General features: G+C 42.0%; 1 non-coding gene and 1 pseudogene across 1 annotated transcript, besides 2 other annotated features; one reads left to right on the forward strand and one right to left on the reverse strand.

Moving 5' to 3' along the window:
* Positions 4586–4645: an enhancer, noted in NCBI's record as "active region_27563". NCBI's record gives its function as "activates an Ori minimal core promoter by ATAC-STARR-seq in GM12878 lymphoblastoid cells {active_cell/tissue: GM12878}" and the evidence as "EXISTENCE:reporter gene assay evidence [ECO:0000049][PMID:35858748]".
* Positions 8159–8660: an enhancer, noted in NCBI's record as "H3K4me1 hESC enhancer chr8:81212949-81213450 (GRCh37/hg19 assembly coordinates)". NCBI's record gives its function as "activates a minimal SCP1, AML or CMV promoter by ChIP-STARR-seq in primed H9 embryonic stem cells {active_cell/tissue: H9 hESC(primed)}" and the evidence as "EXISTENCE:reporter gene assay evidence [ECO:0000049][PMID:30033119]".
* RPS5P5 (RPS5 pseudogene 5) lies at positions 8242–8981 on the forward strand (annotated as a pseudogene).
* On the reverse strand, positions 24384–24514 carry LOC124900264 (small nucleolar RNA SNORA20). The gene has a single exon (XR_007061202.1). It is a non-coding gene; the product is annotated as a small nucleolar RNA SNORA20 (small nucleolar RNA).
* Between the last annotated feature and the right edge of the window lie 1262 nt (positions 24515–25776).

Here is a 25776-nt window from a genome sequence, read left to right on the forward strand (position 1 = left end):
TATTTCTTCACATTCTAGAGGCCAGAAAGTCTGAGATCAAGGTGTCAGGAGGGTTGGTTTCTTTCAAGGCCTCTCTCCTTGGCTTGTAGCTGGCTGTCTTCTCCCTGTGTCTTCACTGGTCTTCCCTCTGTGTCCATAATCCAGTTTTAGAACTTTGCCTTCACCCCAAGAAGATCTCTCTTAATCATTTGCAGTTAATCCTCATTCCTACTCCAAACCCCAGGAGACCACTGACTTCCTTTCTGTCTCCATAATTTTGACTATTCTGGGCACTTCATATAAATGAACCCACATCATTATGTGGTCTTTTGTGACTGGCTTCTTTCAATTATAAATGGTTTTGAGGTTAATTCATATTGTTGCAAATATCACTATTTCATTCTTTTATTGTGAAACAGTATTTCAGTGTGTGGATATATGCTTTTTGTTTATTTATCAGCTGATGGACAGTTGGATTGTTCCCACTTTTTCAGTTCTTATGAATAATGCTGCTGTGAACATTGGTGTTCATTCAAGTCTTTGTGTGATCATATGTTTCCACTTTCCTTCATTAGATACCTGGGAATGGAATTGCTAGATAATACAGTAAACTTATGTTTAACATTTTAAGAAACTGCCATGTTTTCCAAAGTGGCTGCATCATTTTATCTTACCACTTATAATATATGAAAGCACAACAATGTATGTGTCTTTCTCCATATTCTTGTCAATTTATGTTACTGCATGACTGAAATTATAGCCATTCTAGTGGGTGTGAATAGTATCTTACATGGTTTTAATGAGAATTTCCCTAAAGATTAATAATGTTAAGCATCTTTTTAATGGCTTATTAGCCATTTATGTAATTCAGCAAAATGTATATTCAAATCTTTTGCCTGTTTTTTTAGGCTAGTCAAATGAAACAGTGGGAGAGGAGAAGGATTTTGCTGGTTTTAATTTGATGTTTGTCTTATTGAACTGTAAGAGTTCTATATATACTATGGATACAGGTTCTTGATCAGATATATGATTTGAAAATATTTTCTCACAGCCTATGGCTTGTCTTTTTACCTTTTAAAGAGTTTATCTTTATTCTTTTAATTTTTTTGTAGAGACAGGGTCTCACTATGTTGTCCAGGCTGGTTTCAAACTCCTGAGCTCAACTGATCCTTCTGCCTTAGCCTCCCAACGTGCTGGGATTATAGGTGTGAGCCACTGTACTTGGCCTCTTTTCCCTTTCTTAATGATGTCTTTTATAGTACAAGTTTGAAATTTTGATGAAGTCCAATTTATCAGTTTTTTTCTTTAAGGGTTATGCTTTTGGTATTGTATCTCAAAAATTTCTGCCCAACACAAGTTCACAAAGATTTTTCTCCTATATTTTCTTCTAAAAGTGATATACTTTTAGCTCTTACATTTAGGTGTCTGATTCATTTTGAGTTAACTTTTTGGTTATGGTGTGAGGTAAGGGTCTGAATCAATCTTTTTGCATTCAATAACTTATTTAAAAGGATTTTTTTTTTTGAGATGGAGTTTCACTCTTGTTGCCCAGGCTGGAGTGCAATGGTGTGATCTTGGCTCACTGCAACCTCTGCCTCCCGGGTTCAAGTGGTGGGTCATGCCTGTAATCCCAGTACTTTGGGAGGCCGAGGCTGGTGGATCACCTGAGGTCAGGAGTTCCAGACCAGCCTGACCAACATGGTGAAACCCCATCTCTACTAAAAATACAAAAAATTGGCCAAGCGTGGTGGTGGGCACCTGTAATCCCAGCTACTTGGGAGGCTGAGACAGGAGAATAACTTGAACCTGGGAGGTGGAGGTTGCAGTAAGCTGAGATCGTGCCACTGCACTCCAGCCTGGGAATGAGAGTGAGACTTTGCCTCCAAAAAAAATTACTTTTTTTCATAAAAATAATTGGTATTTGTGGCACCATTTTTTTGTTTGTTTTTTTGTTTTGTTTTAAAGTACTAATACCAGCATCAGCATCTGGGGCTTGCTACAACCCCCTACCAATGCCCTACAAGACATCTATTTTAAATAGTTTTTTTTTTGAGATGGAGCTTCACTCTTGTTGCCCAGGCTGTAGCGCAATGGTGCATTCTCAGCTCACTGCAACCTCCGCCTCTCGGGTTCAAGCGATTCTCCTGCCTCAGCCTCCTGAGTAGCTGGGATTACAGGGACCCACCACCATGCCTAACTAATTTTTTTGTATTTTTTTAGTAGAGACGGGGTTTCACCATGTTGGCTAGGCTGGTCTTGAACTCCTGACCACAGGTGATCTGCCCACCTTGGCCTCCCAAAGTGCTGGGATTACAGGCGTGAGCCACCATGCCCAGCCTAAATAGTTTTTTTTAAAGTACTAATACAAACTGATAATTTTCTGATGTATTTATGTATTTATTGTCTTTCCCATTTGGACAAAAACTAGAGGAAAAATGTAAAAAAATGTAAACTTTTCTATATTTACCACTGCAGTACCCTCAATGCCAGGTACCTAGGAGATGCTCACTGTATATCTGATGAATAAATTAAATGCTAGGGCAGTAAGTCAGTTGGTAGAACAAAATTACTCCTGTAGGTGAGTGGGGAGTATGAAGCTGAGGTTTTAGAGCAGAAACCAATAGATGAGGCTTACCTTGGGTTTTGGGTCTCTTTTCATGCCACTGTGATTCAGGACCTCTTGCTGACAAAGTGCTTTTCGGCTGCCCTAAGTATAGCTTATTATTTTCTTTTTCTTTTTTCATTTTTTTAAACTTTTAATTTTTTTTCTTTTTTTTTTTTTTTTTGAGACGAAGTCTCACTCTTGTCCCCCAGGCTGGAGTGTGATGGCACGATCTTGGCTCACTGCAACCTCCGCCTCCCGGGTTCAAGCAATTCTCCTGTCTCGTCTCCCCAAGTAGCTGGGATTACAGGCGCCCGCCACCACACCTGGCTAATTTCTGTATTTTTGGTAGAGACAGGGTTTTACCATGTTGGCGAGACTTGTCTCGAACTCCTGACCTCAGGTGATCCACCCGCCATGGCCTCCCAAAGTGCTGGGAATACAGGTGTGAGCCACCGCGCCCGGCCTAATTTTTTTTTTTTTTTAGAGATGGGGTATCATTCATCGCCCAGGCTGGAGTGCACTGATGCAATGATAACTCACTGCAGCCTTGATCTCCTGGACTCAAGTGATTCTCCTCCCTCAGCCTCCTGAGTAGCAGGGACTACAGGTATGTGCCACTGCACCAGCCCAAGTATAGTTTTTGAATTTAATATAGTAGTTGGGGGCATATGTATACGTTTAATAATATACTTATTATTCATTTATTCAACAAATATGTTTGTGTCCCTTTCCATATATCAGAGGTTTTGCTAAGACTTGGAGATTAAGTGGCAGAGGAGGTAAATGTGTTCTCTGCCCCTGTGAAGTGCTCAGTTCCCAAACCTCTCACTAACTAGTTGTGTGACCTTGTGAATGGTATGTGACTTCCTCTAAGCTTGTTTTCTGATTTGTAAGATGAAGATTGTAAAGTAGCTACCTTATTTGATTTTGACAAGTAGTAAATAAAGTACACAAAGCAAGGGCAACTACTATTTTGCATAATAAATATTCAGAATGGTATTATTATAAGTTGTTTAACCTACCAGGTAAGATGGAATTATACTGTATTATTCAGCCTCACCTCCCACTTAGTACCTTATTAATGATTCTGAGTAAATCACTGAAAGACAGGAAACTAATATTTGTTTTTAAAATCTTTAGACTTGTTTATTATAAAGGCACTACATATGATAGAGTAAAAAATAAACAGTGCGGAAGCATATACAATAAAAAGTACAAATTCCCCCACCCGCAGCACACACCCAACTCATTCTTCAGGGGCAATCACTGTAAACAATTCTGTTTCTCCTCCTAGAAAAGTCTTATGCATATAAAAGTGTACATATACATATATATATACATACATATATATATATATATATATATATATATATATATATATATATATATATATATGCATATCCTTAGAAAACAAAGAGCACTTTCATGTCCTTTGCAGTGACATGGATGAAGCTGGAAACCATCATTCTCAGCAAACTAACACAGGAACAGAAAGCCAAACACCGCATGTTCTCACTCATAAGTGGGAGCTTAACAAAGAGAACACATGGACACAAAGAGGGGAACATCACATACCAGGGCCTGTCACAGGGTTGGGGGAAAGAGGAGGGAGAGCATTAGGACAAATACCTAATGCATGCGGGGCTTAAAACCTGGAAGACGAGTTGATAGGTGCAACAAACCACCATGGTACATGTATACCTATGTAACAAACTTGCACGTTCTGCACATGTATCCCTGAACTTAAAAAAAAAAAAAAAAAGAAAAGAGAAAACAAACAGCACAAAGACTTAGACATTGCCAATCATTATCACAGAGCATTTTCACTTAATAATGTATATTGGAGAGCAGTCCAAGAGGAACATATCTTGCTCTTACTCAGAATGAATATTTTTACATTTTCTCAACACACAATTAAACACCACCACCACCACCACCAAAATACTCTCAAACTTTTGGAGAAAGTTTATGGGATACACCCTCCTTCCCTTGCAGCCCCCGCACTCCGCACCCTGGCCTCCTGCGGCTTCCAGCAGCCAGGGCCTGGCACCTGCCCACCCACATTTTCTTGGCCTGCAGCCAGCTGTGGTCAAACCAGCAACAGAAAGTGAGGGTGGGGGAGCAAAGAAGGAAGAGAAAGCACATCTTCCAAGAGTAGTTGAGAAAGAGCTGCACGAGTCAAGCCGACACATAAGGCATAGCATCGAAAGTGTTTTATTACAGGCATTTACACAGAAGGTATCAGGAAGACTGTTCTAGAAGGCAGTGGGTGCGGGAACATCAGGCTTTTGAACTGGTAGTGACAGCTGCATCTGAGATCATGATTGGTGGATGTGGGCAGTGAGAAAGTGCTTGGGGTCGCAAGGGACAAACCTGCTCCCTAGAAATGCAGTGATCTAGGGTTGCAGGGGAGGGACAAGGGGCAGAGAGAGAGATTTCCTCAGAGAAGTGAAATAGCAAGATTGGGCCCAGTGCCAGATGAAGGACAAAGGAACGCTCTGCCCTTCCTCACTGAAAACTAAACCCCACTTCCTCCATTTCCCACCTGCTTGTTTCTCCTCCCACCTCACCACTCTCAGCCCGACTGCTTGACTTCACTTTTGTGAGGGGCTCTAGCTAGAGCTCAGCCCTCAGCTAAGGGTCCAAATGACTGACGTCTCTCCCCACACACAGGCTTCTCAGTGGTTGGACGCTAAGGCGAGTAAAACCTGGGGTAGAGATTCTCATGACCTTGGGAGATGGAGAAACAGATCTTTAATCTTTGCCTCTTTCCTTTGGTTATTCATTTAATCTTTGTTCTTTGGGTTGTGTCTACCTCCACCTGGGCCAGAAAATATTATAGAATGGTTTAGAGCTTCTAAATTAGGTTGTAAGCAGGGCCAGCACCTCAGCCTGCAGGCCTGGCCTAGAGCCTACACCCAAGAAAGCAAAAACACTCCTTGGGTGGGGCTTTCCTAGACATAAAGCTTTACCATGCCTCTAAGCAGGTGAGCTCCAGCCAAGATTATATTGGGCAGGTAATAAAATTAAGGGCAATAAAACCAGATAAACCACCTCATTAGCAGCAGTGTACTGGTAAGGCCATTTCAACAAGAAGAGGAGGATAGATGGAAGACTCAAATCCTTTGTCAAGTTCTTTCCAATGTCCTCCTCTGAAAAGGAACATTCTTTTCAGGAGTGTTGGCTTGGAAGAGAGGGCATATGTACATTTATCCAACACCTGCTGAGACCAAGTGGTGATTCAGAGGAGAGCCTCTGGAATTTGGACCTGTCACTTGATTGCTACTGAGAGATCACCAGCTGAACTGCTTGACTTTTCTCAGAACTTTTTTATCAGTCATGTAAATGAGTGAAGATCCTGTACCAGTCTATGTAGGATCAACTGGTCATTGAGTGTAGATTTACACATTAAAAGCCACACTTATATTCATAGTTTCAAAAAAAAAAGAAAAAAATGGCACTACTTATTTTGTAAAGATAGAACCATTTTCTTTTTTTTCTTTTCTTTTCTTTTTTTTTTTTTTTTTTTGAGGCAGAGTTTCACTCTTGTTGCCCAGGCTGGAGTATAGTGGTGCAATCTCAGCTCACTGCAACCTCCACCTCCCAGGTTCAAGTGATGCTCTTGCCTCAGCCTCCCAAGTAGCTGGGATTATAGGCATGTACCACCACACCCGGCTAATTTTTTGTATTTTTAGTAGAGGCGGGGTTTCACCATGTTGGTCAGGCTGGTTTCAAACTCCCGACCTCAGATGATCCGCCTGCCTCAGCCTCCCAAAGTGCTGGGATTACAGGCCTGAGCCACTGCATGTGGCCAGAACCATTTTCTTAACTGTATACATCATAGTGATGTTATGTTGCTTTTAAGGGATTAAGAAGGAAAAACATGGAAAAAGCAATTAGATTCTCAAAATTGCCTGCACCTGCCTGGGTGCCATGGCTCATGCCTGCAATCTCAGCACTTTGGGAGGCTGAGGTGGGAGGATTGCTTGGGGCCAGGAGTTCAAGACCAGCCTGGGCAACATAGCAAGACCCTGTCTCTATTTAAAAAAAAAAAAAAAGCCTGTGATGCACACACACTTTACCCTAGCACATAAACCTACACTCACTGTATATGTGTATTTACACTGTATATGGTAAAATAACTGAATTAGGATAAACTTTTTTTTTTTTTTTTTGAGATAGGGTCTTGCAATCTCAGCCTTCCAGGTTCAAGCATTTCTCTGCCTCAGCTTCCCAAGTAGTTGAGATTACAGGTGCCCACCACCACGCCTGGCTAACTTTTGTATTTTTTTAGTAGAGACGGGGTTTCACCATCTTGGCCAGGCTGGTCTTGAACTCCTGACCTCGTGATCCACCCGCCTCAGCCTCCCAAAGTGCTGGGATTACAGGTGTGAGCCACTGCACCCAGCCAGGATGCACTTCTAAGTAGTATTTATTAATGTATTTATTTTGAGACGGAGTTTCGCTCTGTTGCCCAGGCTGGAGTGCAGTGGCACGATCTCAGGTCACTGCAAGCTCCGCATCCCGGGTTCATGCCATTCTCCTGCCTCAGCCTCCCGAGTAGCTGGGACTACAGGCACCCACCACCACGTCTGGCTAATTTTTTGTATTTTTAGTAGAGACAAGGTTTTACCATGTTAGCCGGGATGGTCTCGATCTTCTGACCTCGTGATCCGCCCACCTCGGCCTCCCAAAGTGCTGGGATTACAGGCATGAGCCTGCGCCCGGCCAGTAGCTTTTATTTTTTTAAGCATTGGCAAAATATTTCTATAAATAAATACCTGCCCTTGTCAATTTTATTTCTATAAAACTTCTCCAAATATCATTTGGTAATTGAGCTTCTAAATAAGATGCCCTCCTAAAAATTGTAAACTGTGTTTGCTAACTAATAAGAGGCATGAAGTGTTCCATGACTGTATTATTCTTGGGGATTCAGGCTGTGGTGATGTGAGCAGCCACCCCCTTGGGACACATCATGCTGGTAAACCACTGATTCATGACACACTGCCAGGAATGGCTGTCATCCAAGTCCCGGGGCAAGTTCAGCCAGCGCCAGAAATCACCCAAGAAGGGCTAGTCAGATGTTTAAATTCCTGCCTTTGTCAGAATCCTAAGAATTATTTTTGATACCTCCTTTTCCCCTCCCATCTTTATCCAATCAATTACCAACATCTCTCAACTGGTTTCACTTCCTAAATGCCTCTCCAATCTGTCCACTCCTCTTTTACTCTACCACCGCTTTCCTAGGCCAAACTGCCTGGATTATTACAAAATCTTTCCAACTAGGTTACCCCATCCACTTTTGTCCCCCTCCAATCAAGTCCCCACACAGTGGCCAGGTTGATTGAAAAGCAAGCATAGATCTGAGTGGTCTTTCCTCTCCCTCCCAGACTCCGGTGGCTTCCCCTTGCTCTCAGATGGAAGATCAATATCTGCACCTGCCCAGGGGCCATGAATGAACTGGCCTCTCTCCAACTGGCCAGTCTCATCCTGTACTTCACATCACTATTCTCCCACTTTCTCCACGACATTAATCTGCTCATGGCTCCTCGTATCTCACGAAATTTGGGGAAGACCCACGTACCTGAATTTTCCCAAAAGTTCCTTAGGTGGTTCTGAACCACTACTATGGTTGAAAGTTTTAATAGCTAGACTGGCTCTTCCTGTCTGTGCCAGGGCGGCATGTGGTGCATGCCAAGCCACAGAGATGCTCAGGCTGTGCCCTCAGGATGACCTAGTGGGAGACAGCAGCACCACTGGTGGCAGAGAACCCTGGCATCAAGCTCTTTGGGAAGTGGAGCTCCGATGATGTGCAGATCTGGCACTTGCTTGCAGGATTACACTGCAGTGAAGGAGAAGTATGCCAAGTACCTGCCTCACAGTGCAGAGCGGTATGCCGCCAAACGCTTCCGCAAAGCTCAGTGCCCCATCGTGGAGTGCCTCACTTACTCCATGATGACGCACGGCCGCAACAACCGCAAGAAGCTCATGATCATGCGCATCGTCAAGCACGCCTTCGAGATCATCCAGCTGCTCACAGGCGACAACCCTCTGCAGGTCCTGGTGAACGCCATCATCAACAGTGGTCCCCGGGAGGACTCCACACTCACTGGGCGAGCCAGGATCGTGAGACGACAGGCTGTGGCCGTGTCCCCATTAAGCCGTGTGAATCAGGCCATCTGGCCGCAGTGCACAGGAGCTCTTGAGGCTGCCTTCCGGAACATCAAGACCATTGCTGAGTTCCTGGCAGATGAGCTCATCAGTGCTGTCAAGGGCTCCTCCAACTCCTATGCTAGCAAGAAGAAGGACGAGCTTGAGTGTGTGGCCAAGTCCAACCGCTGATTTTCCCGGTTGCTGCCCAATAAACCTGTCTGCCTTCTGCCTTTTGGGACGCCCCCCCTCACCCCCCACCACCACACACACACACACACACACACACACACACACACACACACACACACACGAAGTAGCTAGACTGAAGATGGAGCCAAGTTGAAACTTGCGTCCCAGGCTCTTATGATAGCATCAGAGTTTGACTTAGGTTTAAAAAGCAGGCCAGGAAAAATTTCAAAGTGGCAAGTCATGGGGCAGGCTTTGCAGAGCAGTCACTGCTGTTCCTTCTGCTATCCCAAAAGGGCTTGAAGAGTGAATTACAGATAAACCACTGGGTAAATATCTTGTTACTTTCTATAAAATGTAAACGTAGCTAAAAGAAGCAACCATGAGGCTGAGGATGCATTCACAAAAGCTCTGGAATATTATAGATGAAGCAGATGGTTCCCTCATAATCAAAAACTCAGCCGAAAATGTCTTTCTCTGGAGGAATAGAAGTTCGTGTTTGTAGATTCTGTGTAATCATGTTGTAACAGAGCTTGTTAAACGGATTCAGATGAGCTATGGGTCGAATCCTGTTCGACCCATATCGAGCTATTGGTCAACAACTAGAAAAGGCTAAGCCTGATCAAATGGTATTTATTGCTCTTCTCTTCCAATTCCATTATAGAAAGATTCCAACATATTGTTAAATTCCCTTTTCTGCAAATATCTCATGAATTGCATTTTTAAAATGGGATTGATTGGCCAGCAGGGTGGCTCACGCGTGTAATCCCAACACTTCGGGAGGCCAAGGCAGGCGGATCATGAAGTCAGGAGTTCAAGACCAGCCTGGCCAAGATAGTGAAACCCCGTCTCTACTAAAAACAATTAAAAAATTAGCCAGGCATGGTGGCAGTGCCTGTAATTCCAGCTACTCGGGAGGCTGAGGCAGAGAATTGCTTGAACCCGGGAGGCGGACGTTGTAGTGAGCCAAGATCATGCCACTGTACTCCAGCCTGGGCGACAGAGTGAGATTCCATCTAAAACAAAAAACAAAACAAAAAAAGGATTGATTTTATTTGTCACTGTTGCTTATAGCAAATGCTGAGTCCTCAGCCAGCTGTGGGAGGATATGGCTAGTTTATATGCCCTCCGAGTTGTGTGTGACAGTATCTGGCATATTTTCAATAACTGCAGTCATAATTCCCAACATTACGTGGAGAGCAAAGCACAGGAGGAAATAAATCAACTTTTAATGTCAGGATATCACACCCTTTCTAACTTTTTTTTGACATGAATGAGGCAGTAATTGTATAATTAACCTTGAACTTATCACTTTATAGTCAGATGATTACTTTACCAAGAAGCTCTATCTATAACACACAAGTTTATTTTAAAAAACAGCTTTCCAAACTAGAAAAAATCTTAAAAATATGAGTAGAAAAAATCTTAAAATAATGATTATCATCTGGGCACGGTGGCTCATACCTGTAATCTCAGCACTTTGGGAGGCTGAGGCAAGAGGATCACTTGAGCCCAGAAGTTCAAGACGAGCCTGGGTAACATATCGAAAACCTGTCTCTACCAAAAAAAAAAAAAAAAAAAAAAAAAAAGATTTTTTTAATAAGTAATATATGCGAAAGTCCCCAAATATAAAATGTTCAAGAAAATATATAATGAAAAATATGCCTAACTCCTACCCTCATGACCTCAGCCATCCAATTCTCTTCCCTGGAGGCAAACACAGTGACCAATTTTGTGTTTATCTGTCCAGAGACATTCTATGCATTTGCATATAAACACACATTCTTTTTCAAAACCCACCTGGTAGCATATCTTACATAATGTTGGCTTTTGTGTGTGTATTTTAAATAAGATATGCTGTTGTTCCACATTAGTGCATAGAGAGGAGCCTAATTTAATTGTTAATAGCTGTGTTTCATGAAATAATTTCTTTCTTTTGCTGTAGAGAAAGAGCTCGATGTGAGACTAGCTCATGCGGGAGAATTGGAGTGATCATTTAAATCAGTCTCCCTGAAGGCTCAGAGGTTAGGGTTTTTATGGACAACTTGGTAAGTAGAGGGCTAAGGAATAGGTGCTGCTGATTGGTTGAGGATAAAATCACAGGGGTGTGGAAACCTATCCTCATGCACTGAGTCTGCCTTTGGGAGGGACCACAGGACCAGTTGAGCCATGAGTCATGAGTCCAGGTGGGGTCATTCTGAAAAACATCTCAAAAAAAACCAATCTTAGGTTCTACAATAGTGATGTTATCTATAGGAACAATTGGGAAAGTCACAAATCTTGTGACCTCTGGCCACATGACCCCTGAGCAGTAAGGATTTATAGAAATCATGACTTGTCTGGGTTTGGGCCTCATAATTGTAATCCCCCAGCACTTTGGGAGGCCAAGGCAGGAGGATTGCTTGAGCCCAGGAGTTTGAGACCAGCCTGGGCAATATAGTGAGACCTCATCTTTATTTAAAAAAAAAACAAGAAGAAAAGAAGAAAAAAAGAAACTATGCCCACATCTTAGCAGAGATCAGGCTCCTCCCATAACCCTATCCTTGTGACCTTTCATTAGTCTTAGAAAGGCTGTCTTCAGTCCCTGAGCAAAGAAAGAGTTGGTTAGTTTTAGGGAGGGACTATTATTATCCTTGCTTTCAAGTAAACTATAAACAAAATTCCTCCCAAAATTAGCTTGGCCTATGCCCAGGAATGACCAAAGACAGCATGGAGGTCAGAAGCAAGATGGAGGCAACTATAGCAGATTTCCATTACTGACATAATTTTGCAAAGGCGATTTCAAATCACCCATTGGGCTTCAGCACACCTCAGTCCTGAGGTATGAGCTGCAGAGATGGGAAAAGCCTGATACTGCTCTAACTTCTTCCTGCATGACAGTGGGCAGGGGGTTTAGTTGGGGTAGGAGTTGCCCCAGGGTAGGAGGAGTGAAACCATCTTGCAGTTGTCTGTATGTATTCACGGGTACCTGGTTTGGATCCCAAGGTACACATAACAAAAACATTAGTGCTGTTACCCACAGCTTTATGACTATAAGACGAATAATAACCCTAACATAAGGAGTGAAAGTCCTAGCTTCAGGAGTCCCAGTAGAACTGGCTAGAAATCTTCTTCTTCTTCTTTTTTTTTTTTTTTTTTTTTTTGAGATAGGGCTCACTCTGTTGCTCAGGTGGGAATGCCCTGGCGCAATCGTGGCTCACTGCAGCCTTGACTTCCTGGGCTCAAGGGATCTTCAGCCTCCTGAATAGCTGGGACTACAGGCGCACACCAAGCCCAGCTAAATATTCAATTTTTTTGTAGAGATGGGGGTCTCACTATGTTGCCTAGGCTTGTCTTGAACTCCTAGGCTCAAGCAGTCCTCCTGCCTCGGCTTCCCAAAGTGCTGAGATTACAGGAGTGAGCGACTGTGCCCAGCTTGACCTGAAGTCTTAAGGGATCCAGGTGAATGACCCTGATAACTAATTATATGTGGAATCATCAGGAGACACTCAAAATCAGTGAATAAGGCTGATATCTAATAACAAACTGCAGTTTTTCCTAAAACATACTTTTTTCCTCTCTAGTTCTCCATGTTTAATTAAAGACAAATCATAATAGGACCAATTTATTTGCAAAATAAATTTCAGTCTTACTATACTTGGCCTAATTATTTGTATAAAGTACAAAAGGAATAATTATTTGCCATATAGGCACTTTTTTTAAAAATTGGCTTTGCTGGAATTCTTTCATAAGAAATCTCAAATTAGACCTTTTAAAAGCCTCTTGAGCCCAGCTAAGGATTTATTTGTGCCTGCAGATACCTGTATGAATTGAGTATATTCCTCTCCTCAAGGTCTCAGAAGAGCTTGGGCTTCCTGGGCCTGTCAGAAAGTGACATTTTTTATCAGGTCAGAAATCCAGTACAAAACATGGTACAAGGCCAGTTTTCCCAAAAGGCTTTTACCATCTCTATAGGTCAACTTCAGTTCCTCAAAGCAGTCTGAAAACATGTTTTTCTAGTCAAAACCTGGGTGAAATAACTATAGTCTCCAATTGTGTCCTGTTACAAAAGAAAACTGATTCTTTTTTCCCCCCATCGGACTCTGCTTGATAAGGAAAACTGATTCTTATTGAACTTATGCAAATAACTTTGTTGCTATAAGTTAAAAATACTCAGAGTTTCCAAATTCTGGAGAGATTCCGTAGAGAGAAATACACTCTAAATTTTGCTCACAGGAGTAAATTTTACTCAATAGTTAAAAGCCAGCCAGGCACGGTGGCTCATGCCTGTAATCCCAGCACTTTGGGGGGCTGAGGTGGGTGGATCACCTGAGGTCAGGAGTTTGAAACCAGCCTGGCCAACATGGTGAAACACTGTCTGTACTAAAAATACAATAATTAGCTGGTATGGTGGTGGGCACCTGTAGTCCCAGCTACTTGGGAGGCCGAGGCAAGGGAACCACTTGAACCTGGGAGGCGGAGGTTGCAGTGAACTGAGATCACACCACTGCACTCCAGCCTGGGCGTCAAAGTGAAAGAAAAAAAAATTGTTAAAAGCTGTAAATATTAGCTCAAAATAAAAGTTTTTGTGACTTTGAAAAATGAAACAAAAATAATCGGTGGGTTGGGTATGTAATAACAGGTATTAACTAACTGGGTATCGAATAACAGGTATAAAAGTAGATTATTGCTGGGCATGGTGGCTCATGCTTGTAATCCCAGCACTTTGGGAGGGTGAGGCAGGTGGATCAGCAGGTAAAGAGTTTGAGAACAGCTTGTCCAACACAGTGAAACCCCGTCTCTACTAAAAACACAAAAATTAGCTGGGCGTGATGGCAGGTGCCTGTAATCCCAGCTACTTGGGAGGCTGAGGTAGGAGAATTGCTTGAACCTGGGAGACGGAGGTTTCAGTGAGCTGAGATTGCACCACTACACTCCAGCCTGGGCGACAGAGCTAGAATCTGTCTCAAAAAAAAAAAAAATCGATTATTTCAGTCTTCTATTAGTTCAGTCCATGCAATTAACTTCTGTTCTGCTTGCTATTCATGAACACATCAGCTTCCCATGAGAGTCCTGGAAATTTTGTTTTTGTTTTTCTATTCCAATAGCACAGTTTCCAAAGTTATCAAGAACCTGTATCTGGGCACAATGGCACGTGCCTGTAATCCCAGCAGTTTGGGAGGCTGAGACTGGAGGATTACTTGAGCTCAGGAGTTTAAGACCAGCCTGGGCAGCAGGGAAAAATCCTGTCTCTACCAAAAAAAAAAAAAAAAGATTAGCCAGTCATGGTAGCATGTGCCTGTAGTCCCAGTTACTCAGGAGGCTGTGGTGGGAGGATCGCTTGAGCCTGGGAGGTTGAGGCTGCAGTGAGCCAAGATCGCACCACTACACTCCATGCTGGCTGACAGAATGAGACCCTGTCTCAAACAAAAACAAGGCCAAAAATCTGCATTCAAAAGCGCCTGTCAAAGTCCTATAGTTGATTATAAAACCACCTTTTTAAAAAGGATCAGGATGGGCATGGGGGCTCACTCCTGTAATCCCAGCACTTTGGGAGGCCAAGGCAGGTGGATCACCTGAGGTCAGGAGTTCGAGACTAGCCTGGCCAACATGGTGAAACCTCATCTCTACTAAAAGTACAAAAATTTGCTGGACATGGTGGCACACAACTGTAATCCCAACTACTTGGGGGGCTGAGGCACAAGAATCAACCGAACCTGGGAAGTGGAGGTTGCGGTGAGCCAAAATCGTGCTCACTGTATCAAAGTAAAATAATTGGTGATAACGTAAATCTCAGAATGGCCATGGTTAAGAACACAATTGACAAGGAAGTTTGATTTATTTTGTGACATACAACATTTACCATTACAATTATAATTATTACTGATAACATACACTAAGTCATATCGGAATTACAGGAGTTTTGCCCAATTCTGGAGCACACACCAATAACACGTTCATACAAATACAGCCTAAAGAAAGCCAAACAGGCTGGACGCAGTGGCTCATGCTTGTAATCTCAGCACTTTGGGAGGCCAAGGTGGGAGGATCACCTGAGCTCAGGAGTTCAAGACCAGCCTGTGGTCAACAAGGTGAAACCTTGTCGCTACTAAAAATACAAAAATTAGCTGGGCTTGGTGGTGGATGCCTGTCATCCCAGCTACTTGGGTGACTGAGGCAGGAGAAGTGCTTGAACCCAGGAGGTGGAGGTTTCAGTGAGCTGAGATCGCGCCTCTGCACTCTTGCCTGGGCAACAGAGTGAGATTCGGTCTCAAAACAAAAACAAAAACAAAAACACAAAGCCAAACACCATTTCCTACTTGACAGTGCTTCCTATATAATTTTTTTGATGGTTGTATGGTTTTTTAAATATAGACAACTCTTGTTAATTTGTACCAATGAACTAGGGATGATGAACTTGTGTGATGCTCAATAATCCTTTACACTTGGTTTGACCTTCCTTATTGAATTTGTAACAAAAAGCAAAATACTGAAGCCATACCGGAAGGTGTAGTTTGGGAAGAAAGGGAAAGCTGCTCACCTGCTGCATTCCTGTACTCTCCTTTGTGCTGGGAATGAACATCGTCATTTTGCCATAGAGCTGTCTTCTTTGCAAACACCTTATAATTGCTCAGCTGGTCTGGAGTTATGGGAAGGAAAGCCTGTCTGTGTAGAAGTGAAGTTTCAGCAGTGGTTTGCCAAGTCCTGAGATCAGAATTTCTTTCTTGGCAGTGGTTCGCCAAGTCCTGAGATCAGAATTTTGTTTTTGAGATGAATATAAAAGCACCTAAAGGTCAAAGAAAATGTTCTTCCTATGATAAGGAACTTAAGACCTTTGCTTTATAAGTGTAGATGACCACTCCCCTCTGAAAGGGAGGGAGAAAGAATGTTGCTTTAATTCCTTTCCCCTGGCCGATCTCTTTTTTTCTTCTCCGGGCATGGTCCAACACATGCATGAGGCCTCCCGGGGGACTGGCCTGCCTACAGCCCAGAGGCTGGTTTACGGCGGCATGCCTCACTCTGCCATCTTCGATCCTTCCCTTATATAATTTTAACATATCAAATAAGCCAAATGTCTCTCTTGGACTTCAGGGGACTTAGTATCTAAAAGCTTAATGAGTTCAATAGGGCTGAATTTAGAACTTGAAATTTTGATTTTTGGAAAGTTTGTCAAATATCAAAGATTTCACACACTTGATATTGCAAAATAGGATCACAGGTCATTCATTTAGCCAAAGTGATAACTCAAAAAATTTCAAAAGGGAAAAACCTTTACTCTGATAGAGAGGGGACTCAGCTTTTCAAACAAAACCCAAGAAAGACAACATGAGGCCAGCTGAATCTGTCTCTTCTTTCTCCCTGCTTTTTTCTTTTTTCTTGCCGTTTATTCAAAAGGCAAACAAAAATCTTTCACTATCTCTCAATATTGCATAAAAGTCTTGTTCAAAATAGAAAACAAAAAATTTTCCTTTGTATTAGTGTATATTAATGTTAAACTCAATTTTTAATAAACTCAATTTTTAATAAAACCTTATAAACAAATCATTTAATTTTTATTTATTTATTTTATTTTTTTTAAGGCAAAGTTTTGCTTTGTTGCCCAGGCTGGAGTGCAGTGGTGTGATCTCGGTTCACTGCAGCCTCCGCCTCCTGGGTTCAAGTGATTCTCCTGCCTCAGCCTCCCAAGTAGCTGAAACTACAGGCAGCGTGCCATGCCCGACTAATTTTTGTATTTTTAGTAGAGACGGGGTTTCTCCATGTTGGTCAGGCTGGTCTCAAACTCCTGACCTCAGGGGATCCGCCCACCTCAGCCTCCCAAAGTCCTGGGATTACAGGCATGAGCATGAGTCATCACGCCCGGCCTCATTGAATCTTAATCAGTTGTGTACCTGCAGTACCATAAAGACCTTCTGTAGATTCTCAGTGTTCAGGTATGATGCAGAAAGGTCTCCACAACCATGGCCCACATCTGCTACTATTCTTTAACCTGAATTCTCCACTCCAATTAACTGACCTACTGGGGCTCTTGAACAGAGTTCTAATCCCTGCTCTGTCATTAACTCACTGTCTGATAAATGCTGTCTTCCTTCTGGCTCTTGGTCTGCTCACCCACAAATTAGGAGTGGTACTGGGAAGGGAGGGGGTAGACGCCTCCCCTAGGTCCTTTTCGGATCTAACATTCTGTCAATCTGTGACTAGATGAGATCAAAGGGCCTTCCTTTCCAACTCTACACTTTGATCAGCAATTTACATTTTCATGGGTTTTGTCTTGTTTCTTCAATTGTCCTTGAGCTTATTAAAGACAAGTCTATCTCTTTGTATCCCCCTCAAGAATATCCTGCTAGCATCGTTGCTCCAGAAATGTGTGTTGATTTTCTGGGTTATCACTTAAAATGCTATACATTAATAATATCTCCATTCTTATTATTTGAAATAGGTCGATTAAGCCAGTTTCTTTTAGAACAAGGAATAGAAATTGAAATGCTTGTGCTGAACTGGAACAATTGGGAACATTTGGGAGGCTGAGGCAGGCAGATTACTTGAGTCTAGGAGTTCAAGACCAGCCTGGGCAACATGGCAATATCCCGTGTCTACAAAAAAATGCAAAAAAATTAGCTGTGCGTGGTGGTGCACACCGGTGGTCCCGCTACTCGGGAGGCTGAATTGGGAGGATCATCTAAACCTGGGAAGTTGAGGTTGCAGTGAGCTATGATCGTGCCACTCTACTCTAGCCTGGGTGATGGAATGAGACTCTGTCTCAAAAGAAAAAAAAGAACAATTGTAAACAATTCTTGATCTTAGCATTAGGTCCTTAATAGATCTAATTTATGCAATCTATATATCACTGACATACATATAAATATTATTAGCAACTTGAAGAATAAAAGTATCTGTTTTTAGAAATGAAGACATTGGGGATGACAAAGTTCAAACTTTTTATTTTATAGATTTCCTTTTTTTTTTTTTTTTTTTTTCTGAGACAGGGTCTTGCTGTGTCACCCAGGCTGGAGTGCAGTAGCGCGATCTTGGCTCACTGCAGCCTCCCGAGTTCAAGTGATTCTCGTGCCTCTGCCTCCCAAGTAGCTGGATTACAGGTGTGAGCCACTGCGCCTGGCCTTTACTTTATAGATTTAGAAAATCAAGTTCTACAGTTTAAGATTTGTCTGAGAGAAAATAGATAAAATTTAAAATTTGATAAAATTTTAAATAGATAAAAATTTAAAAATGAAATTAAAGAAATGACCTTTTGGGTCATTTTTAAATTTATTGACTGAGTTATGAGACTGGCTAATTTTTGTATTTTTGGTAGAGATGTGGGTTTTGCCATGTTGCCCAGGCTGGTCTTGAACTTCTGGGCTCAAGCAATCCTCCCATCTCAGCCTCCCAAAGTTCTGGGATTACAGGTGTGAGCCACCATGCCCAGCCACTGAAAGTTTATTTTGTATAGTAATATAATTCCTCCCTCCCAACCTTTTTTTTTTAGGGAGGGAGGGAGTTGGATTTAAATATCAAATTTTGTTAAAGGAAGATTTAGCTTAGCTAATGTCACAGCCATTCATTGCCTTGTTCTTTATCTTAAAATGGGACAATTACCCCTGGTTTTTGCCCATCTCTCAGTGATTATGAAGATTTGATTATGAAGTGTATGAAAATTTCATTCATACATATCTAAATTCATGAATTTTGCCAAATCTATGTATCACCTCTATTATTATTTACTTATTACTTTTATAGCCACATGACACATAATGATGTTTTGATCAGTGATGGATCACATATACGATGGTGGTACCGTAAGATTATAATAGAGCTTTTTTTGTTTTTTTGAGATGGAGTTTCGCTCTTTTTGCCCCGGCTGGAGTGCAATGGCGCAATCTCGGCTCACTGCAGCCTCTGCCTCCTGGGTTCAAGCAATTCTCCTGCCTCAGCCTCTAGAGTAGCTGGGACTACAGATGCACACCACCATACCCAGCTAATTTTTGTATTTTTAGTAGAGACGGGGTTTTGCCACATTAGCCAGGCTGGTCTCAAACTTCTGACCTCAGGAGATCTACCTGCCTTGGCCTCCCAAAGTGCTAGGATTACAGGCATGAGCCACCACGCCTGGCCTAAATTTTCTTTAAATTTATTTTTTATTTTTTTTAGCTGCAGTGTTAAATTATATACATACATATATATATATATATATATTTAAGAGACATGGTCTTGTCCTGTCACTCAGGCTGGAGTGCAGTGGCACAAAGATGCTCACTGCAACCTTGAACTCACTGCTTAAAGTTTCAAGCAAACTTCCCACCTCAGCCTCCCAAGCAGCTGGGACTATAACTAATTAAAAAAAATTTTTTTTTTGTAGAGATGGGGTCTTGTTATGTTGCCCAGGGTGATCTCAAAGTCCTGGTCTCAAGCAGTCATCCCACCGCGGCCTCCTAAAGTGCTGGGATTACAGTCGTGAGCCACCATGCCTGACCTATACTTTTAATCATTATTTTAGAAGTAGTCCTTCTACATATATCTTTAGAAAGTTAATTGTAAAAGAGCCTCAGGCAGGTCTTCAGAGGTATTCCTGAAGAAGGCATTGTTATCCTAGGAGATGAGAGCTCCATGTATGTTATTGCCCCTGAAAATTTTCCAGTGGGACAGGATGTGGATGTGGAAGACAGTGATATTGATGATCCTGACCCTGTGTAGGTCTAGGCCAATAGGTGCGTTTGTGCCTTCATTTTTAACAAAAAAGTTTACAAAGTAAAACACTTTAAAAATAGAAAGAAGCTTATAGAATAAGAATATAAAGAAAATATTTTTGTATAGCTGTACAATGTGTTTGAAGCTAAGTGTTATTATAAAAGAATCAAAAGTTAAAAAATTAAAAAGTTTATAAAGTAAAAATGTTTCAGTAAGCTAAGGTTAACTTTTTATTGAAGAAAGAAAATATGTTTTTATAAATTTAGTGTAGCCTAAATGTACAGTGTTTATAAAGTCTACAAGAGTGTACAGTGATGTCCTAGGCCTTCACAGTCACTCACCATTCACTCACTGACTCACCCAGAGAAACTTCAAGTCCTTCAAGCTCCATTCACAAGTCTACCATTTTTTTATCTTTTATACTATTTTTTTTTTTTTTGAGACGAAGTCTTGCTCTGTCACCTAGGTTGGAGTGCTGTGGCCTGATCTCGGCTCACTGCAACCTTCACTTCCCGGGTTCAAGCAATTCTTCTGCCTCAGCCTCCTGAGTGGCTGGGGTCACAGGTGTGCACCACCACGCCCTGCTGATTTTTGTATTTTTAGTAGAGATGGGGTTTCACCATATTGGCTAGTTCAGTCTTGAACTCCTGACCTCAGGTGATCCACCTGCCTCGGCTTCCCAAAGTGCTGGGATTACAGGTGTGAGCCACTGTGCCCAGCATACTGTATTTTTATTGTACCTTTTTCATGTTTAGGTAAGTTTAGATACACAAGTACTTACCATCTTGTGACAATCACCTACAGTCAGTACAGTAATATGCTGTATAGGTTAGTAGTTTAGAAGCTATAGGCTATACCAGCAGCCCTAACATTTTTGGCACCAGGGACCAGTTTCACGGGAGACAATGTTTCCACAAATGGGGTGGGGTGAGGGGATGGTTTTGGGATGAAACTGTTCCACCTCAGATAATCAGGCATTAGATGCTTGTAAGGAGTGCACAACCTAGATCCCTCGCATGCACAGTTCACAAGAGGGTTTGCACACCTATGAGAATCCAATGCTGCTGCTGATCTGACAGGAGATGGAGCTCAGGAGATAATGCAAGCAATGGGGAGAGGCTGTAAATACAGATGAAGCTTTGCTTGCTTACCTGCTGCTCATTCCCTGCTATGTGGCCCAGTTTGTAACAGGCCATGGACCAGTACCTGTCCACGATACAGGGGTTGGGGACCCCTGGGCTATACCTTACAGCCTAGGTGTGTAATAGCCTATATACCATGTAGGTTTGTGTAAGTACATTCTATGATGTTCACACAATGGCAAAATTGCCTAAAGGCACATTTCTCAGAACATATCCCCATAATTAAGGGATATATGACTGTAGTTAAACTGATCACCATTTTATTTAAATAATTTATGTAAAGTTACACTAAAATCTGTAACAATTTAAATAAAATATATTTCTTCATAGGCCACCTAGGAAACACTGGTATAGTGGAAATAAATGCATTTGAGTTGAAGAATCAGAAGACTTGGATTTAAATCATAGCTTTGCTTTTTTTTTTAAGTTTTATTTTAAGGTCGGGGTACAAGTGCAGGTTTGTTGCATCAGTAAACTTGTGTCATGGGGGTTTGTTGTACAGATTAGTTCATCACCCAGGTGTTAAACCTAGTACCCATTAGTTATTTTTCCTGATCCTCTCCCTCCTCTCCCACTTCATCCTCCAAATGGTCCCGGTGTGTGTTGTTCCCCTCTATGTGTCCACGTGTTCTCATCATTTAGCTCCCATTTGTAAGTGAGAACATACAGTATTTGGTTTTCTGTTCCTGTGTTAGTTTGCTAAGGATAATGGCCTTTGGCTCCATCCATCTCCTTACAAAGGACATGATCTTGTTCTTTTTTATGGTTTCAAGCTTTGCTTTTTGCTAGTCAGGTGATTTTGAGGAAGTAATCTTGGTTTCTTTACATTGAAATTATGACCATAATACATAAGTTATAGTGTTGTCATGGTGATAAATAGGATCACGTATGTGAACGCACTTTGAAAAAGTTAGGACAATGCACATTATTAGTTGTTATTGTTAAACAAAGAGAAAATTAGTGTGTTGGGAGGAGAAAGTACTATTGTTTTAATAGTAGTTTATTCAGAAGGATAGAAGGTGTAGAAAATATCTATATTTTAAGGAATGGATATACAAAAATGTATTATTGTATTAGGTGGATCAGAAAATGGAAGAATAGTTAATCAAATACTGCAAAAAGACAGGGAGCAAAATCCACCTAAATTTTCTTGATAAAAAGAGCATTCTTAGTATAGGTCCAACATAAAATTGTGACAAGTTTATGTGAAGTTGAAAAAATATAATTTCAAGTATTATAAACTTAATTATATATATCAATCAAAAGTTATCTTAACAGTAATTAATGTTTTATATATTTCATTACAATCATTAATTCTCTCCTAATACTGATATAATTTCTTAATTGATCTCTGGTGTCTAATGTAAACCATGTTAAGGCTCCTGAATATGTGTTACTTAATTGCAAAGTGTATGAATAATAAAAACTACAGCTCCTCAGAATCAAACCATGTTTATTAACGAAAGCTCTTTGAAACATATTCCAGGCTGGGTGCAGTGGCTCACGCCTGTAATCCCAACACTTTGGGAGGCTGAGTCGGGTGGATAGCTTGAGTCCAGGAGTTCGAGACCAGCCTGGGTAACACAGCGAGACCCTCTCCCTACAAAAAATACAAAAATTAGCCTGGCATGGTGACATGTGCCTGTAGTCCCAGGTACTCAAGAGGTTGAGGTGGGAGGATGACTTGAACCTGGGAGGCAGAGTTGGCAGTGAGTCGAGATTGTGCCATTGCATTCCAGCCTGGGTGACACAATGAGACCCTGCCTCCAAAAAAAAAAAAAGAAACACATTCCAACGCTTCTTCACCATCTTTATTCCCTTGACTACCTGCTATGCCCTCTTATTCTTGCTAGGGATTTCACCTTCAACTTCATAAACTAGTGATCAACTGAGCCACTGTCAACTTCCTGTCCCCAAATTACCACACCTGAACTGCCTTCCCTTTGCCCTGGACCGATGGAGGGGGTGTGTCTCCATTCTGGGTTCTGAACTTTGTGCTCACTGTGTCTTCTGCACTCTCTGTGACTCCAGTCTTGCCCTGTCTGTCAGCTTTTCGCATCAACATTAAACACTTTCGCAACTTCCCCTGGCCACAGGTTCCCGTCTAGCACAGCCTTGACTCTTTCTATCCCTTGTGGCCAAATGTGTCCTGTCCAAAGAACTCTATTCCTAATGTCCTATTTTGTCATCCTTTGCATCCTTTACTTTCCAATTCAGTCTCCATATTTCTGTTTCCTGAGAATATTGTCTTCCCCCACCCAAAGTATAATCCATAAACATTTTTACATACTCTTAAAGAAACTCTGGCTATGTGCAGTGGTTCATGTCTGTAATCTCAGCACTTTGGGAGGCTGAGATGGGAGGATCACTTGAGCCCAGGAGTTTGAGACTAGCCTGGGCAACATAGGGAGATGTTGTCTCTACACACACACAAAAAATTAGTCAGACATGGTGGTGCACGCCTGTGGTCTTAGCTACTTGGGAGGCTATGGTGGAAGGATCACTTGTGCCTGGAAGATTGAGGCTGCAGTGAGCAGTCATCGTGCCAATGCACTACAGCCTGGGCAACAGTGCAAGATGCTATCTCAAAAAAAAGAAAAAAAGAGTTTCCAAATCCTCAAAATTTAAAAAGTATTTTAAAAAAGCATAATAAAAGAAAATAATATATAAAATCTTCCTGTTAATACCTCTGTATAAATCGTTCACATGCTCCATTTCCCCTCACATGCCTTTTTCATGTGGGTAGATTTCTTGTAGTCATAGCACCCATACTGACTTTTTTTTTAGACAGAGCTCGCTTTTGTTGCCCAGGCTGGAGTGCAATGGCACGATCTTGGCTCACCGCAACCTCCGCCCCCCAGGTTCAAGCAATTCTCCTGCCTCAGGCTCCCGAGTAGCTGGGATTACAGGCTTGCACCACCACGCCCCCACCCAATTTGTATTTTTAGTAGAGACGGGGTTTCTCTATGTTGGTCAGGCTGGTCTTGAACTCCCGCCCTTAGGTGATCTGCCTACCTCGGCCTCCCCAGGTGCCACCCATGCTGACTTTTAATTCCACTCTAGGAAACAAGCATAGCCTGGTTCCCAAAACAAGTGGACTGGGATCAAGAGGTTACCTGAGAGAACTTTGCCTTAGTTATTTGGGTACTTTATTCATACTAAGATTAAAAAAGACTTCCATGCTACTAAATCTAATGTACACTTCAATCTGGATTTAAATCTCGATGTCTTAGTAATGTTTGACACAGCCGATCACCCCTTCATGACCTCTCTTCTGTCCCTGGTTTTGTGGTGTGTCCTTCTGGTGATCTGTCTACTGTGGTTTATCTCCTCAGTCTCCTCCAATGGTTCTTCCTCCTGTACTGTTTATTACATGCTGGGGTTCCTAAGGGCTCCATCCTGAGTTCCTCTGTTCTTGTCACTCTGCAAATGCTTCTTAGGTGATCCCATTTACTCTTGAGACTCCCATTACCATCTTCATGCTGGTGATTCTTAAATTGATTACTCCAGCAAAGACTTTTCTTAGACCTTCATCACTGTCTATCCAGTGGTCAACTGGACATGTTCACAGCATGTGTCATAATAGACATGCAAAGCTCAGGATTTTCTTTTTGTTTCTTTTTTTTCTTTCTTCTTCTTTTTTTTTAAACCAAAAACAATGTCTTGTCCATGCAGAAAAGATGAAAATGGTTACTTCATTTCAATTTACAATGTCCCAATATTATTTTATCCCATGCATATAACTGCTTGTATCATTATGAGACTATAGCAGCAAATAAATGGGAAGAAGCTCAATATTTTCTAAAATGGAAATTCTTACTTTCTTCAGTGTCCTACATTTTATTTTATTTTATTTATTTATTTTTTGAGACGGAGTCTTACTCTGTTGCCCAGGCTGTAGTGCAGTGGTGCAATCTCGGCTCACTGCAACCTCTGCCTCCCAGGCTCAAGTGATTCTCCTGCCTCAGTCTCCCGAGTAGCTGGGATTACAAGTGCCCGCCACCACGCCAGGCTAATTTTTGTATTTTTAGTAGAGCCGGGGTTTCACCATGTTGGCCAGGTTGGCCTCAAACTCCTGACCTCATGTGATCTGCCCGCCTTGGCCTTCCAAAGTGCTGTGATTACAGGCGTGAGCCACTGCTTCCAGCCTGTCCTCCATTTTAGTAAAGGGCACCACCATCCCCTCAGTTGCTCAAGCCAGAAATCTAGGAGTCATTGTTGACTTTTCCTTGACTACTTGATGGCTTCCGATTCCTTACTGTGCCCCCTCCCCATTAATTAATCACCAAGTCTTTCCCATTCTATCTCCTAAATACATCTTCAACCCATTTGCCTCTCTGTATCATCGTCACCACAACCATCATCTCTCAAGCAGACTGCTGTGAAAACTTCTTACCCTCCCATTAAAGCACATTTGATTATGTTGATTCTCTCCTTATACTCTTTTTTTTTTTTTTTTTTTTTGAGACAGAGTTTTGCTCTTGTGGCCCAGGCTGGAGTGCAGTGGTGTGATCTCGGCTCACTGCAACCTCCACCTCCTGGGTTCAAGTGATTCTCATGCCTCAGCCTCCCAAGTAGCTGGGATTACAGGTGCTCACCACCATACCCAGCTAATTTTTGTATTTTTGGTAGAGACGGGGTTTCACCAGTTGGCCAGGCTGTTCTAGAACTCCTGACCTCAGGTGATCCACTTGCCTCGGCCTCCAGAAGTGCTGGGATTACAGGCATGAGCCACCACCCCCGACCTCTTCTTACACTCTTTAAAGGTTTCTTGTTGCCTTTAGGATAAAAACCCAAATCCTTAAGACCTATGAGACTCTGTGTGATCATCCCTCTGCCTAGTTGTTGAGGTTTAACATATCTCATTCCACCTCCCATTCTTTCTGTTCCAGAAACTGGCCTCTCAGTTCTTTCCATAAGAAGCCACTCTTCTTCCATCTTGGAATTTTGCCTGGAATATATTAGCTTAACCTCACCAACTTGAACATAGATAAGTTATTCTTTTTTTTTTTTTTTGAGACAGAGTCTCATTCTGTCACTCAGGCTGGA

Source organism: Homo sapiens, chromosome 8 (assembly GCF_000001405.40).
Source record: "Homo sapiens chromosome 8, GRCh38.p14 Primary Assembly".
Lineage (NCBI taxonomy): Eukaryota > Metazoa > Chordata > Mammalia > Primates > Hominidae > Homo > Homo sapiens.